The sequence below is a fragment of the Homo sapiens genome, chromosome 8 (genome assembly GCF_000001405.40).
Source record: "Homo sapiens chromosome 8, GRCh38.p14 Primary Assembly".
NCBI lineage: Eukaryota > Metazoa > Chordata > Mammalia > Primates > Hominidae > Homo > Homo sapiens.
Genome location: NC_000008.11, coordinates 128,360,900 through 128,376,405, shown reverse-complemented (window position 1 = coordinate 128,376,405; position 15,506 = coordinate 128,360,900). Strand labels below are relative to the sequence as shown.

The following is a 15,506-nucleotide window of genomic DNA, read 5'->3' as shown; positions in this document are numbered from 1 at the left end:
TGTGAGCAAAGGTCATCCATACAGCATTTCATATGGATTAAGCCCCATTTTTTTAGGAGAATTTCGGATTCTTAACAAGGCCATGGGTGAGAGTAGGCTATGGGAGATGAGTTTCTTTTGTTAGTTTCCTTAAGTGCCTCTTGAGTGTTTTGTCTTCTTGGCCTTCCCTGAGGATTGTGGCCTCCAGGTGCAGTGAAGGTGACATTGTATCCCTAGCGCCCTAGAAATTCCCTGAGTTATTGTGGCCTTAAAAGCTGGACCATTGTCACTTTGTAAGCTTTGGGGAAGCCCAAATCTAGGAATTAGGACTTTAACCACTTACCAAGCCTTCTCTGTCTTGTAGGGAAAGGCTTCTATCCAATTTGTGAAGGTGTCAACACAGGCCAACAAGTATTGAAATCCCTTTGACTTAGGCATATGGTGAAGTCTAACTGCCAGTCCTCTCCAGGATAGTGACCTATTCTTTGTTCCCCCAGAGGGGCCTCACGATGGACCAAGGGATTATTCCTTTGGAACATCTCACAGGATTTGACTACTTGTCGGATGGTCCAGAGGAGATTTGGCCCTGTAAACAGGGATTTAGCCATTTGATGAGTGTTCTCAAAACCCATATGAAAAGTTTGGTGGAGGGTCTTAAGTATTTTCCACTGGCTAGCTTCAGGTATGAGTACCTTTCCCTCTTCTGTTGTTAACTACCCTGAGGGGAGAAAACTATGCCCCCGCAAAAGTCCCCATTCTGTTTCAGTCAGGGAATACTGGGGCTTAATCTCTTGGAAAGGGTTATTCCATACCAAAGGCCCTTCCATATATATTTCTAATGGGAGGTTCAACATGGCAGCAATTTTGGCCTCAGTGTCTGCCTGATGGTTTCCTTCTGCTTTTTCTCCTTCACCTTTTTGATGGCTTTGGCAGTGTAAGACTGCCAACTCCTTGAATTTTTACACTGTGTACAATAACTCCATAATTTCCTTCTGGTATTTAATGTGGGTTCTCCCAGAGGTTAGGAACTCCCTTTCTTTCCATATTGCAGCATGGGCATGTAGGATTAGATAAGCATACTTGCTATCTGTATGCACATTTATTCTTTTTCCCTTTCCCAGTTCTAAGGCTTGGATAAGTGCCAGTAGTTCTGCTAGCTGGGCACTGGTCCCTGGGGGAAGAGGCTTACTTTCAAGTACTGTTACTGAGTGCTGATTGGTCCATTTTACAGAGTGCTGATTGGTCCATTTTACAAACCTCTAGCTAGCCATAGGGCACTGATTAGTGCATTTTTACAGAGCACTGATTGGTGCATTTTACAAACCACTTGTAAGACAGAAAAGTTCTTCAAGTCCCCACCCAACCCAGAAGTCCAGCTGGCTTCACCTCTCAATAGCACATGGCACTATGAACTAGCCACATTGCAACAACCACCTGTTGGACGGTGCAGCATTCAACTGAAAATTCTTCATCCTGGAAAGCTTTGGAAAACATCAATACCTGGGCCCCTTCAAAGGCCTATTAAATCAGAAACTCTGGAACCAGGGCCAGGCTTTGGTGTCTGTTGAAGTACCAGGATGCCTCTAAGATGTAGCCAGACAGTAAACTCTTAGAGAAAAATACTTTTCTTATTCCCCATGTATGTGGATTACTTTGCATAGAACCTACAACTTAGTAGGCATTCAAAATATATTTTGTGAACAAATGAGTGGGTTTGGATTTGCATTTAGACGTTCTGAGTTCTAGTCCTGACTCTGCCTCGATGTGTGATCATGACCTTACGCCAATAATGGCTTTCTGAGCCTAATCTTTCTCATTAACAGCAACAATCCCTCCACTCACTGCTCCCTTAGCCCCTTCTATCTCTGAAATTAATAACTCCCACGTATGCGCCGAGTACCTGCTATACCCAAGCACAGCCCAGCAATGCATGCCCCTTTCACCAGGTCTTCACCTCCATCTGAAGTCCATGGCCTGGGATCCACAATTACAGGGAACCCTCCTGCATTGCACTTGCTTGACACATGTAATCACTGTGTTGGTGGCATCTCTACAGCCAGAGGAAATTTAAATTGCATCTTTTGAGTCTTAATATGATGTTTCTGGGCCATTTCACATACAGCTCCTAAGATAAAGGCATCTACTCGGCATGCACAGCAGTTACACTAATAACAGGGGGATGGTGACATGCCACTGTTTATAGCATAAGAACAGATGCATCTCTGTGAGCTTCGGGTTCTGCTTACAGAGAGGAAGGGAAAGATGCCTTTCTATGAATGTGTCATTTGCATCTGTGGTTTTGTGGAAACATGAGAAAAGGCATTGTGAGCCTTAGATTAAGTCCAGGTACCCTGAAATATTAGGGAATAGTTTGTTAATGTATCAAAGCACAGGAAGGAAAGCAGGAGAGGGAAAGGATGCTGTAATGAGAATTCAGGGTAAATCCAAACTCTGAGCAGAGCATCAGACTTATGATATACACTCCATCAGTGCCAGCACATGCAGCAGCACCAGCAGTACCAGTGACTGCACCAGCACCACCAGTACTAACACAGGTAGCACCAGCGCCAGCACCAGCAGCATTAGCACCTGCACAAGCAGCACCAGTGCCTGAACCAGCACCAGCACCAGCAACTGCACTAGCAGCACCAGCGCCTGCACCAGCACTAGCACATTCACCAGCACCAGTAGCACAAGCAACACCAGCACCAGCAGCACCAGCAACTGCACCAGGAGCATTAGCACCGGTACCTGCACTACCAGCAGCATCAGCACCACCAGCACCTGCATCACTAGCAGCACTAATAGCAGCAGCAGCAGCAGCAGCACCTGCACCAGCAACACCAGGACCAGTACCACAAACAGGACCAGCAGCACCTGCACCAGCACCAGCACCACTGGCACCAGCACCACCAGCAGCAACAGTACTGGCAGCACCAGCAGCAGAACCTACACCAGCAGCAGCAGCACCAGCACCAGCATCAGTACCACAAGCAGCACCAGTGCAAACACCAGCACCAGTACCACCAGCAGCACCAGCACCATAATCTGTACCAGCAGCACCAGCACCAACACTAATAGCACGAGCAGCAGTAGGAGCACCAGCACCAGTGGCAACAGCACCAGCACTAGCAAAACAAGAACCACAGGCAGTGCCAGCACCAGTACCAACAGCACCAGCAGCATCAGCGCCACCAGCACCTGCATCTCCAGCAGCACGAGCACAAACAGCACCAGCACCTGCACCAGCAGCACCAACACCAGCAACACTGGCACCAACAGCTGCACCCCCCTGCATTCCTGGTTCTCAGCATATCCCTCAGGGCTTTTCCTGTGCTCCCTGCACACTGGAGTAGCAGTAGTTGCTTTAGTGGACTATAATCTCTCAAAGTTCCTTGTATTTGCGCATGCTCTTTCCATGTTCTTCACTTGCTAAATTCTACCCATTCTTTAAAATGTACTTGGATACTACCTCTTCCAGAAAGTGTTTTTTGGACACTTCAGCAAGCCTAGGCAGGATTAGAGATTTTGCTTTTGTGTTCATCCAGTATCCAGGCTCACTCTTATCATTGCACCTATCATCATAGAGTGCAAATCCCAAGTACTTCCTTCCCAACAGATTGTCATCTCACTAAGTGTAGGAATAGTATATTTTGTCTCTGCATGCCAAGCACACTGGGTGGACATGGCAGGCTTTTAATGTGAAGACTGAAGAAGCAACGGAGGGAGGAAAGGAAGAAACATTTACTGAATGAGGTATATGAATAAGTTACAGACGAAATTATGTCTCCCCCAAAACTATATGTTGAAGCTTTAACTTCCAGTGTCACTGTATTTGGAGATAGGGACTTTAAGGATGTAATTAAGGATAAATGAGGGCATAAAGGTGGAGCCTTAATTCACTAAAACTAATGTCCTTATAAGAAGAGGAAGAGCTGCATGCACACAAACCGCAAGAAGGAAGCCGTCTACGAGCCAGGAAGAGAGGCCTTAGGAGAAATGAATCCTACTGGCACCTTTATCTTGAACTTCCAGCCCCCAGAACTATGAGAAAATAAATTTTGCCACCCAGTCTGTGTTGTTTTGTCATGGCAGCACAAGCAGACTGATAAAGTGAGTAATAGAAGTCTTTATCCTCAAGGTATAGACAAGAAAAAAGATGAAAGAAGAAAGAGGGGTGTGTGGAAGCTGTGATGCTAGGAGAGTAACCTGCTCAGATGTCCCCTCAACAGAGAACCTGCTGAGTAGAATGAAGGAAGTCCACAGACAGCCGCCAGCTGCTGAGCCTTCAGGATCCACCATGGTGCTCAGGAGACTCAGGCAGCTCCCATCTAATGACTGAGCACTGTGAGGACAATAGAGCCAGGCCATTTTCACCTAATTCAAGACTCCTCTAGCAGCCCGTCTTTGCTCCTGGCTTCCCCAACTGCCTGCTCTATCAGTGCTGTTGTGGGTCTGAGGCTCTTCATCCCTCTTCTTCTTTCCCTCTCTGCCCTTACAGGTGTCACCCCCACATCACATTCTAAGCCTCTCCACCTGATCTGCCTCCATTTCTCCTTATCCTACATGGGCATTTCCTCCAACAAACCTCTCATCCATTTAATTCTGTCCTGGCTTTCTGGAGTACCCAATCTGACAAAGGATTGGGGAGGGGCATTCACTGAGTGCTATTTGCTTTAGAATCATCTTCTAATTATATTACTGTATCTAGCAACCTGGAGAGGAAATTTTAGTTTCATTATAAAGAGTAGGAAATGGACATGATGGAGAAGAGGGGCTTGCCCTGAAATCACACGGCCAGTGATGAAAGAGCTGCTTCCCAACTCCAAAAGTAACATGGTGTATTGTGCCTTCCTCCCATCCCTTTTGGTCCCCTCAAGCCCTGCCCCTGCCTGACACTGTGAGCAGCTCCTTTGAATGCTGGGAAGTTCTTGGCAAGTTTCCAAGGGGATGTCTCCAAGTGGCTTCTACAATAACAGGTTTCACCCCAAGGGAACTTGATGTCAAAGTCATATCCTGAAACCCGAAATATGATCCTCTTGGGGGAAAAAGAGAAGCCCTCTAATAATCACCTGATAGATTCTTCTTGCCCACTGCACAGATAAAACTGATTCACTGAGATAGTGGTATTGTAGTAAAGAAAGGATTTCGGCCAGGAGCAGTGGTTCATACCTGTAATCCTAACACTTTGGGAGGCCGAGGTAGAAGGATCTCTTGAGTCCAGAAGCTGGAGACCAGCCTGGACAATATAGTAAGATCCCATCTCTACAAGAAAATTTAAAAATTAGTCAAGCATAGTGGTGTGCACCTGTAGTCTCAGCTAACTGGGAGGCTGAGGTAGGAGGATAACTTGAGCCTGGTAGGTGGAGGTTGCAGTGAGCCAAGATGATGCTGCTGCACTCCAGCCTGGGCAGGAGAGTGAGACCTGGCTTAAAAGAAAGAAAGGAAGAAAGAAAGAGAGAGGGAGTGAGAGGGAAAGAAGAGAGGAAGGAAGGAAGGAAAGAAGGAAGGAAGGGAGGGAGGGAGGAAGGAAGGAAGGAAGGAAGGAAGGAAGGAAGGAAGGAAGGAATTGTTTAATACAAATCTAGCCATGTGCCTTCCTGAAAATTCAGAGACTGGAGTTTTTAATAATTTGGTGGGCAGGTGGCTAGGGAATGTGTGCTGCTGATTGGATGAAGATGAAATCATAGGGGTGTGAAAGGCAGTCCTTATGTGCTGGGTCAGCCTCTAGGAGGGGGTCGCAGGATTGATTGAGGAACCTTTCCTTTTTCCTATTTCCTGAGGCTGCATGAGGTCAGTTGACCACCAGAAATATAAAAGCCTGAAAAAACATGTCAAAAAATCAATCTTAGTTTCTACAATAGTGATGTTATCTATAGAAGTAATTGAGGAATTTACAAATCTTGTGACCTCCTGAACAATGGCTGGTTATTATTTAACTATGACTACATCTTGGCAAAATTCAGGCCCCTCTCATAATCCTAATCTTGTGGCCTTTCATTAGTTTTACCAAGGTTGTTTTGGTCCCTGAATGAGGAGAGGGCAGTTTGAGGAAGGAGTGTTGTCATCCTTACTTTAAAGTTAAACTATGAATTCCTCCTAACTTCATCTATGCCTAGGAATGAACAAGGACAGCTTACAGGGTAGAAGCAAGATGGGGTGAGCTATGTCAGATTTCTCTTAATGTCATGATTTTGTAAAGGCAGTTTCATAGATTTTCAAAAAAAAAAAAAAGTCAGAAAGGAAATGATGTGGAAGAGAAAGGTGTTCTGAAAGTGGGCCCCCAACAGGCTAGTCATTAGCCAAGAATGCATTGCTTAATAACTCCACTGCTAGGAACTTCACTCGCAGTCTTATGTTGCATAAATAATACAGCATTTCCACTAGTTATTATGTTACTCATGCTCATAGCCTCATTGAGAAAGAGGCAGGACAATAGGGCCTTTCACAGACAATACAGAGGGACAAAGAGTGAGTTCAAGTGAACCCAACATGTGCCTCAGAGCCACCCAAGAACTTTCGTCAAAATTCATACACCTAGCCTACAGCCCGCAGCTGCCAGCCTGTGTCTGATCCTGTCATCTCTGGAGAAGTCTATCAGGAGCTCACTACATTTAAGAACCACTGGTTTTGGACTTTATCAAATAGCTGCTGGCCTAAGCTAGTTAATTTCAGGTCAACAAACATTTACTGAGCACCTATTATGCAGCGTCATGCCAGTTGCCAGGCATACAGTTTAAATAAGATATGGTCTCTGGCCTTGGGGAGCTTGCAATTTTCTAAAGCAAGACAGGCAAATAAACAAGCAATCCCAAAGGTGAGACAAGTATTTGACAGAGTAAGGACAAGATGCTCTGGGAAAACCTAATGCAGCCTTGGGAAATAAGAAAAAGGAAAGGTTTCTTTTTCCCAGACTGTTAGGGAAGAGAGGTTGTAAGTCTGTTCCAAACACAGGAGATTCTTGAGAAAAGGAGTAGAGGTCTAGAACAAAATGGTTTCTCTTAGGTATATATTAGAGCAGCAGTTCTAGAGCATATGTGAAACGATAGGGCATTGCACTAGGTAGGACTGAGAGGTAGATCAAGGGTAAAACATGAAGCATGTCGTATGCTAGTCTAAGAACCCAGAAATCTCTTAGTCACTCTTGGCTCCTTCACCTTCCCTGACACTCACTTCCAGCTCTTTCTTCTTGATTCTCACTGCTGTGGCTTGAGTGAAAGTCCACTCATCTCTCTTGGGACTCCCCAGGTCACACTATGTCCTCACTAGGTTCCGCCTCTTGTCTTTACTTCCCCTCCAATCCGTGGCTCTTGTTGCTGCCAGAGACACTGATCCAAAATAAACCAATAATGATAATAGTAATAGTAGCTGGGGATAAATATTAAGCATTGCCACGCATTATCTTAAATTGGCTGATTTATTTTATTTAATTCTTAAATAATCCTATTAATCTCATTTTGCAGATGAAAAAAGGAGGACACAGATGGGTTTCTCACCTTGCTTAAGGAAGGCCATGTGACTCGTGAAAGATGAAACTCCAATCTCTCAGAGCCTTAGTCTCTCAGAGAGATGAAGTAATTATTTCAATGATTATTTCAGGAGCCTATCCTAATGAGGCTAAAGAAACATGACCCCAAAATATGACTGTAGGAGATCAAAACATGACACCCCAAAATATGCCTCTTTGGTGTAAGAATTATTTTGAACTGGTTATTTTGAAAAACTATAGACACAGGAGTAGCTCTGAAAGATTACTGTTTTTAAAGAGAAATTCACATCTATAATGGAATTCTCCATTTGTAAGAGTATCTCCCTTTCTGCACTAGGAAAAGAAGGACAACTCTTAAACAACAGGGAAGGCAGCTCTTAAATCTTCATAACAAAACTCTACCTTTGTTTTTCAGTGATTTTCCTGGCCACCTCCTCTTAACCAAACCTTTTTCCACATACTTATTTCTTAGTTTCTGAAAATGATGGTATTTAAGTCTGAAGTTTAAGCTCTTTCTTTGAGATCTACTCTAAAGATTTACTCCTAATTTGTTCCAATCCACACCCCCACCTTCTCCCACGATACCAAAATTCGTGAGCCCTCAGGTCCCGCATTGTAAAACGGTGTTGCCTTTGCATATAACTTATACACATTCTCCCACATTCTTTAAATCATCTCTAGATTACTTACAATACCTAATACAATTTTAATGCTATGTAAATTGTTGTAGTTTTTCAATTTGTATTATGTTTTACTGTGTGTTGTTTTTCACTGTTTTTGTTTTTTTAATATTTTTGATCCATGGTTGGTTGATGCAGAAACCATGGATATGGAGGACCAACTGTATTCATGAACTGTACAGGTTGATAAACTTGTTTTTCTCTTGTTAATCTGTCTTTTGTCATGGAGAATCTCAGTTAAAAAACATAAAAAATAGAAAATTATTTTTCCTCCCTTACACTTCCCTGCCTTAAATGATCCAGTGGCTTCCTATTTCCTACAAAGGATGAGGTCTAAGCTCCTCAGGATGGCATTCAAGGCTTGCATACAACCTCACTTCTCCTCCCCACTAGCCTCAGCTCTGCCGAGGCATCTCTACCACAGCCAGACTCCAGCACACTGGACAGCACACAGTCCCCCAGTAGCTCCTGAATGTTTACACCTCCTGTCCTTGTCCTATTCACCTCTCCCCTCCATGAACCCTTCCTCTATTAATGTTCCTGCCATGTAAAATTCTCCAGAACTTAAATTTGAAAACCTTTCCTCCAGGAAGCCTTTCTAAACTCTCCCAGAACAAGTTGATTTCTCCCTCCTCAGTGCCCCTACAGCACTTTTTTACATTATGTAGTAAGGGATGCATTCACACTACTACAAGGGGGTGTAAAAATGCCTGCCCTCCACCAGCACAACTCTCCTTTGAGAAAAGTGCTTTCTTCAACATCATTCTTGATATCCAGCACCAGGCCTGGAACTAATCATGCTTGTTGAATTATTAGATTAATGAATTGTCTTTAATACATCTTTAAAAACCATGAGGTTAGATCCTGTAAGCTGTTAACACGGGACCTTTTCAAATGATCAAAGTCCTGCTACCATGAGCTACCATGACAAAGAAAGTAACTTCGGACTTTCCCTCAACCAAAATGTTTCCTGGATACTTGGTGCGCATTGATCATCATAATTTTAAATGGTAGAATATCTCTTTTGCAATAGGTCACTGGCTTTTTATTAGGTAAAGATTCTTGAGCTCTCACGATGTGATTTGTATTGTGTCAAATACTAAGGGTTAAGCAAGGGAGTCATCCTGTCTACAAGAAGCTCTATGGATAATAGGAAAGACACACCTTCTTCTATAATACTGTTCAATAAATGCCATGACCAGGATGAACCCAAGGCACATGGAATTAAAAGACTCAATCCTTCCTGTGAAACAAAGGTAAGGCCTTGAGGAAGTAGCATCTGAGCCTGAATTCTAAAAGTAGTTTTCGAGACCAAGAGGAACATTCAAAGTAGAGGGAGATATGCATGCTGAGTCAGCATGCCATGACAAAGTAGGTTTAAAGGAACTCCATGTTATTTGGTGGAAGGTGGTCTCCTTTTAGGTTCTTCTGTGTCTGAACCCACTTCTGTGTTTTGAAATTTCCCTCCTTTCTAAACCTTAGTCAGAAACCAAACCCTACCTCCCACTATATATGCTAAAAAATGTATACATCCTTATTTTTCCATATTCTTGTAACTGAGCTATGGAATGTGATCTATGCTTACTCAATCAGTTGCCTCTACCAAAGATTTTGAACTTAGAGCAAAGAATTTAAGAGATAAGACATTGGAATATCTTGTTCTGATGGTAGCAGTAGCAGCGGTGAGAAGAATTTCCCAGGTCACTGATTATTTTCAAATGGTTTCAGTGGTAACCACAGGGTGGCCTGAGGTCTCTAGTGTGGTGGTAGGTAAGCCTATGTATAGCAGGTGTAAAATCATCCAGTGGCTTTCTACTTCCAGTCATGTATAGCAAGAGTAGCTGGGTATCTTTGCTGGACTCGTGTATGGGGTAATTTATTCTGTGGTTTTGTCTCATCATTTCCCTTTGTTGCAATTTTTTTCCAAGCCCAATTCCCCTACCTTCTAGGTGATTCTGAGAGCTACTCACTATATCCCAAGGTTGGATGTCCCAGAAGTAGACCTTGAAACAAGGATTGAGGAAGTGATGCTGGAAGGAAACAGTAAAGGAGTGGAGAAGAGAGAAATTTAAAAAAAAATAGAGAAAGAAATCCAATATATTACACATGATTAAACAGGTTACTGCTGGAGGAACCTAGAGCTCAATCCTTCTGATTTATTCTTCAGAGTTGTCCCATCTGAGGAATGAAGAACCTAGGGTATTTATTGTATAATTTCCATCCATCATTGGTTGAGGACTTCTCTCAAGCATGAGCTCCCTGGAACGTTCAGTCTGCCTACGAAAGTGTCAAGAAAAATTCTGCAGGTAGAGTCATAAATGCTCCCAACAGAATGCTCTCGACTTCTATCAAAATGGTGAGTGCCAAGGGTATACAGAGAGACACACTCAGGAGCTGCTACACTATTGCTTCAGTACATTATTTTTGCTTAAATTAGGTCTCATTAGTTTCTGTTTGTTGCAACCAAGAATGCTGACAGAACTCAAACATGAGAAGGAGCAGAAAGTAATGCAATGAAAGCTAAAAGTCTAGAGCTTATTGCTAGAGTAATGAGGAGCCCTTGAAAGGTTTTAAGTAAGGAAAATAAGTCCAATTTATATTTTAGAATACTACTACAGATTGGGGTTAATATGAAGCTATTGACACCACTAAGGAAGCTGTTTTGTAATCCAAATGTAAGATAATTAACCATTTAACCCCCAAACCTTACTATTGAGTCCAAAAGTGGGCTCACTTTGTAGTCTCAGCTATATAGACATCAAATTTTACTAGAGTCTCATAAGTTGCAGCATTTAAAATATTTAATAACAGCACAAAATATATCTGCTAATATGACTGCAGTTAAGGAAAATGTTTTATGAAGTCAATTTACTGAAGTTTATTTGTGGATCTGTGGATCAGTAGAGCAGTCTTGTGTATAAAACTTTTCATTTTCAGGAGTTTTTTTGTGTGTGTTTTCCTTCGTTCCTTCTTTCCTTCCTTCCTTCCTTCATTTACTTCCTTCCTTCTTTCCTTCCTTCCTTCCTTCTTTTCTTCCTTCCTTCCTTCTTCCTTTCCTTCTTCAGATGTTTATAAGCACACCTGTACAAATGCTCTGACTCTGTGTCATGGGGCTCTGTCAGAGCTAGAAAGGTATTATCTTAGTCTATTTGTGCTGGAATAACAAAAATATCAGAGGCTGGGTAATATATCAGGAACAGAAAATTATTTTCTCACTGGTCTGGAGGCTGTGAAGCCCAAGATCAAGGCACCGGCAGGTTTGGTTGTCCAGTGGGGACTGCTCTCTGCTTCCAAGATGGCGCCTTTCTGCTGTGTCCTCCAGAGGGGCGACGTACTGCCTCTTCGTATGGTAGGAGGCCCTTGAAGCCTCTTTTATAATGGCCTTACTCCTATTCATAAGGGGAGAAGGCTGTCATGACCTAATCACCACTTAACAGTCCCACTTTTTAATATCATCATATTGGCCATTAAGTTTCAACATTTGAATTTTGGAGGAGACACATTCAAATTATAGCAGGGCTTTATTTTATAGACGAGAAAAACTGAGACCCAGAAAGAAACACACAGAGATAGCAGCATGTTTGTTTTTCCCTTCTCACTAATTCTCTTCTATACATTTCTCCCTATTCTCCACCCACTGGTACTTTAACTCTTCTCTTTAAAGTTGAACAGGAAGAAAATTTGAAGGAGGAAAAATGTGTCATCAGCATTTGTTCATCTGTTGTGCTCATGCCTTCCCAGGACAGGTGCTGCAGAATAGGTGCTCTTCCTCACTTCTTTCCTTCCCACATTCCATCTCTGCATCTGGGACAGCCTTTTCAGAAGTGGAAGGGGCCTCAGGAAACATTCGGTTCAAACATGGAATTAGAATATCACCATTTTGCAACTTCTGTGAATTGTTGAATCATGGCTTCAATAAAGTATTCTTGCCAAAAAATAGAACCTGGCTCCAAGAAAAAAGAACATGCTAATGAGGTCACGAGGATGCAGTCTGCAAAACCCAGACTGTTGGAGTCAGAAACTCTAGAACAAGCAACCCAGTATCTTCAACAACACCAATGAATGAAAATAAACAAATGAATAAAACAATTGAAGGATGACACAAAATGAAAAACAAATGAATAAAAATAAAAATTTTCAATGGAATAAAAGAGAAAATGGAAAAGCTGTAGATTTACAGAGATAAACATCAACCAGTTGACATGTATGGAACTTATTTGAAATGATTCAAACAAAATGCAAAAAAATAAAAAATGCAATAAAAAATTGAACACTGCATATTTTATGGTATTAGGTAATTGTTGTAGAACTCTTGAGTTGTGATAATTACATTGTGGTTATGCTTTAAAAAACAAAATAGAGTCCTTATGTTTTAAAGATGCATATTGAAATATTTATGAGTTAAATAGTATAACCTGTGGAAATTTGCTTCAAAAGATTCATGGAGGTGGGGAATGGGTGGGGTTATAGATTAAACAATATTGGACAATAATTAATAATTGTTGAAGCTGCAAACTCATTATACAATTCTTGTTTTTTGGACACTTCTAAATTTTGTGTAATAAGTTTAAAAATAATACCAGTTTCTTTGTGTGTTTTGTTCCTCTACCTTGCCCTCTCCCACTCCTTCTGGTACTATCCGCCCCTAATTCCCACAACTCCCAGAGTATTTTAACACTAAGCATGGCCAGTTGCTTGCCTTTACTTATGCTGTTCTCCACCTCTGGGTGCCATTTCCTCTCTCTTCCACCTATTCACACGTTAAGACCCAGTGCAAAAATATTATCTGTTAAATCTGCTTATTATCTCTATCCTGGGGAAGAGGTGATTAATCTTCCCCTGAGCATCCAAAGTTATATATACACATATATATATATATGTATATATATATACACACATATATATATGTATATATATATACACACATATATATATGTATATATATATACACACATATATATATGTATATATATATACACACATATATATATGTATATATATATACACACATATATATATATGTATATATATATACACATATATACGTATATATATACACATATATACATATATACGTATATATATACACATATATATACGTATATATATACACATATATATACGTATATATATACACATATATATACGTATATATATTTACATATATATACTATATATATATATATATCTCCACAGTAGTATCTACACCAGTATGTTAGGTTAGTAGAGAGTAGAGCTGAGATCTCTAAAGGAGTGTGAGTTCTTCACTCACTCATTGTATCATTAAGCCATTACTTTTTGAGCACCTACTCTATGCCAGGTGCCATGTGTCTGTGAGTGAGATGGAAACGAATGGACTCGGTCTCTGCACTCAAGAAATCCCCACCTACTTGCTGAAACAATTCATTTTAAAACAACTTCGATCAAGCCAAGTTATACCAGATTGCAATGGAAATGTAAAGGGAGAAGAGACCAATAAAGAAGATTCAGCATAGTCATTCCTTGCAATTAGACTTGATGGTCAAGATGTTCAAAGGAAGCCAAGGTGCATCAGAGCCTGCTCAACTAAGACAAGGGCATGTACAAAGAAGGTCAGTGACCCAAGGAAATGTTGTTCATTTGGAAACTAGCTCATATTCTGATGAGGGGGAGAATGGTAGGATAAAAAGACTAAGTATGGAGCCCAGAGCCACATCAAGAAGAAACTGTATTTTTCGTTGTTGGTTCTTTAGTGCCTAGCACATAGACAGGCCCTTGATAAATGTGCATTATAATAATGAGCCAAGACATAATCATTGAGCTTATGAGCATCAATTTGACTACTAGGTTAAATTAATGCAATACAAAAATGAACAGTGGTTTAATATTTTTCCCTTTTATTCTTTTTTTTTCATATCATTCCAGTTTGGGGTAAATTCAAAGCACAGATGATTCAGGAATGGACAATTCTGACAAGAAGAGAACACTCTTCTGATAACTCTCTTCTGGTGCTTCATCTCTCCTGTTCTGAGGCTGTTCAGGAGGGCAGCTATTGAAGAGTTAACTCCTGGCAGGATTCCAAATCTGCAGCCAGGAGGCCAGCAGCTTCCTCCTCCACCTCCAAATCAATTACACAAGAAGGCTTCACTCTAAGTTTTTCTTTGATCATTATCTTGTCCCCTGTTACAAACCCATTCTCTGTCTTGCTGCAGCAGCAGGGGAGAAAAACGGTGTTAGCAGACTGACTGCAGATACCTTGGAAGTTTCAGCCATTGAGAGGCCACCTGCTGATGCTTTTGCTCTGCAGAACTTCAGAGGGGAACCCCATACATTTAAACACCAGAGGGGAGAAATGCTGGAAATAGATGCAAACTCTACCTCCAGAGGCCTGGCAGTGTTCTCTTTAGGCTTCAAGTAGAGCTGTTCTCTGAGGAGGCATTAAAAAAAAAAAAGAAAGAAAGAAAGAAAAAGAGAAAGAAAGAAAGCAAAAGAAAGAAAGAAGAGAGAAAGAAAAAGAAAGAAAGAAAGAGAAAGAGAAAGAAAGAAAGAAAGAAAGAAAGAAAGAAAGAAAGAAAGAAAGAAAGAAAGAGAAAGAAAGGAAAAAAGAAAGAAAGGAAGAAAGGAAGAAAGGTACTGGTTAAGGAAACGGGGTGAAAAAGTAAAATTTTAACCAACACTGAGTGCCTCTGGGCAAGAGATTTCTCTCTACTGGGACTCAATTTCCTCATCTATGAAGTGGTGACCTTTTAAATACCCTTCAGTTCTTGAGGATTTATCTATTTCTGGGAAGATGGATGGATGAATGGATGGATGAAATGATGGATGGATGGAGGAATTGATTTTTTAAAAGGATTACATAGACAAATACAGATGATCAGAGATAGATTATATTGATGATAAAGATGAAAGAATGATAGATTACAGAATGAAAGAGAAAAGAGTGAGCAAGAGAGAGAGAAAGAGAAAGAAAGAAAGAAAGAAAGAAAGAAAGAAAGAAAGAAAGAAAAGAAAAGAAAAGAAAAGAAAGAAAAAGAAAGGAAGGAAGGGAGAGAGAGAAAGAAGGAAAGAAAGAAAAAAGAAAGAAAGAAAAGAAAAGGAGGGAGGGAAGGAGGGAATAGCAGATATGGCATGAGAAGATTTGGATCCAGGTGAGAACAGGACCCGGGTTTGAATCTTTGTTCCACTGGTTATTAGCAGATTTTACCCAGTTCCAAAATCTATACATTGTCTCATGTTTTCACTCCTCTTGGTCTCAATTTTCTCAACTGAAATTAGAGAAGGACATTTCACTGTGTATAAGGCTAAATAAAATAATATGTAGAAATTGCCTCACATTACTTCATAGCTACCTATTAGATGTAAAGTAACCAAAAACTACA

The 15,506-nt window shown here is 41.1% G+C and overlaps 1 annotated feature.

Annotated features, from left to right (window-relative positions):
* Positions 13,997-14,617: an enhancer, noted in NCBI's record as "NANOG hESC enhancer chr8:129374035-129374655 (GRCh37/hg19 assembly coordinates)". NCBI's record gives its function as "activates a minimal SCP1, AML or CMV promoter by ChIP-STARR-seq in naive H9 embryonic stem cells {active_cell/tissue: H9 hESC(naive)}" and the evidence as "EXISTENCE:reporter gene assay evidence [ECO:0000049][PMID:30033119]".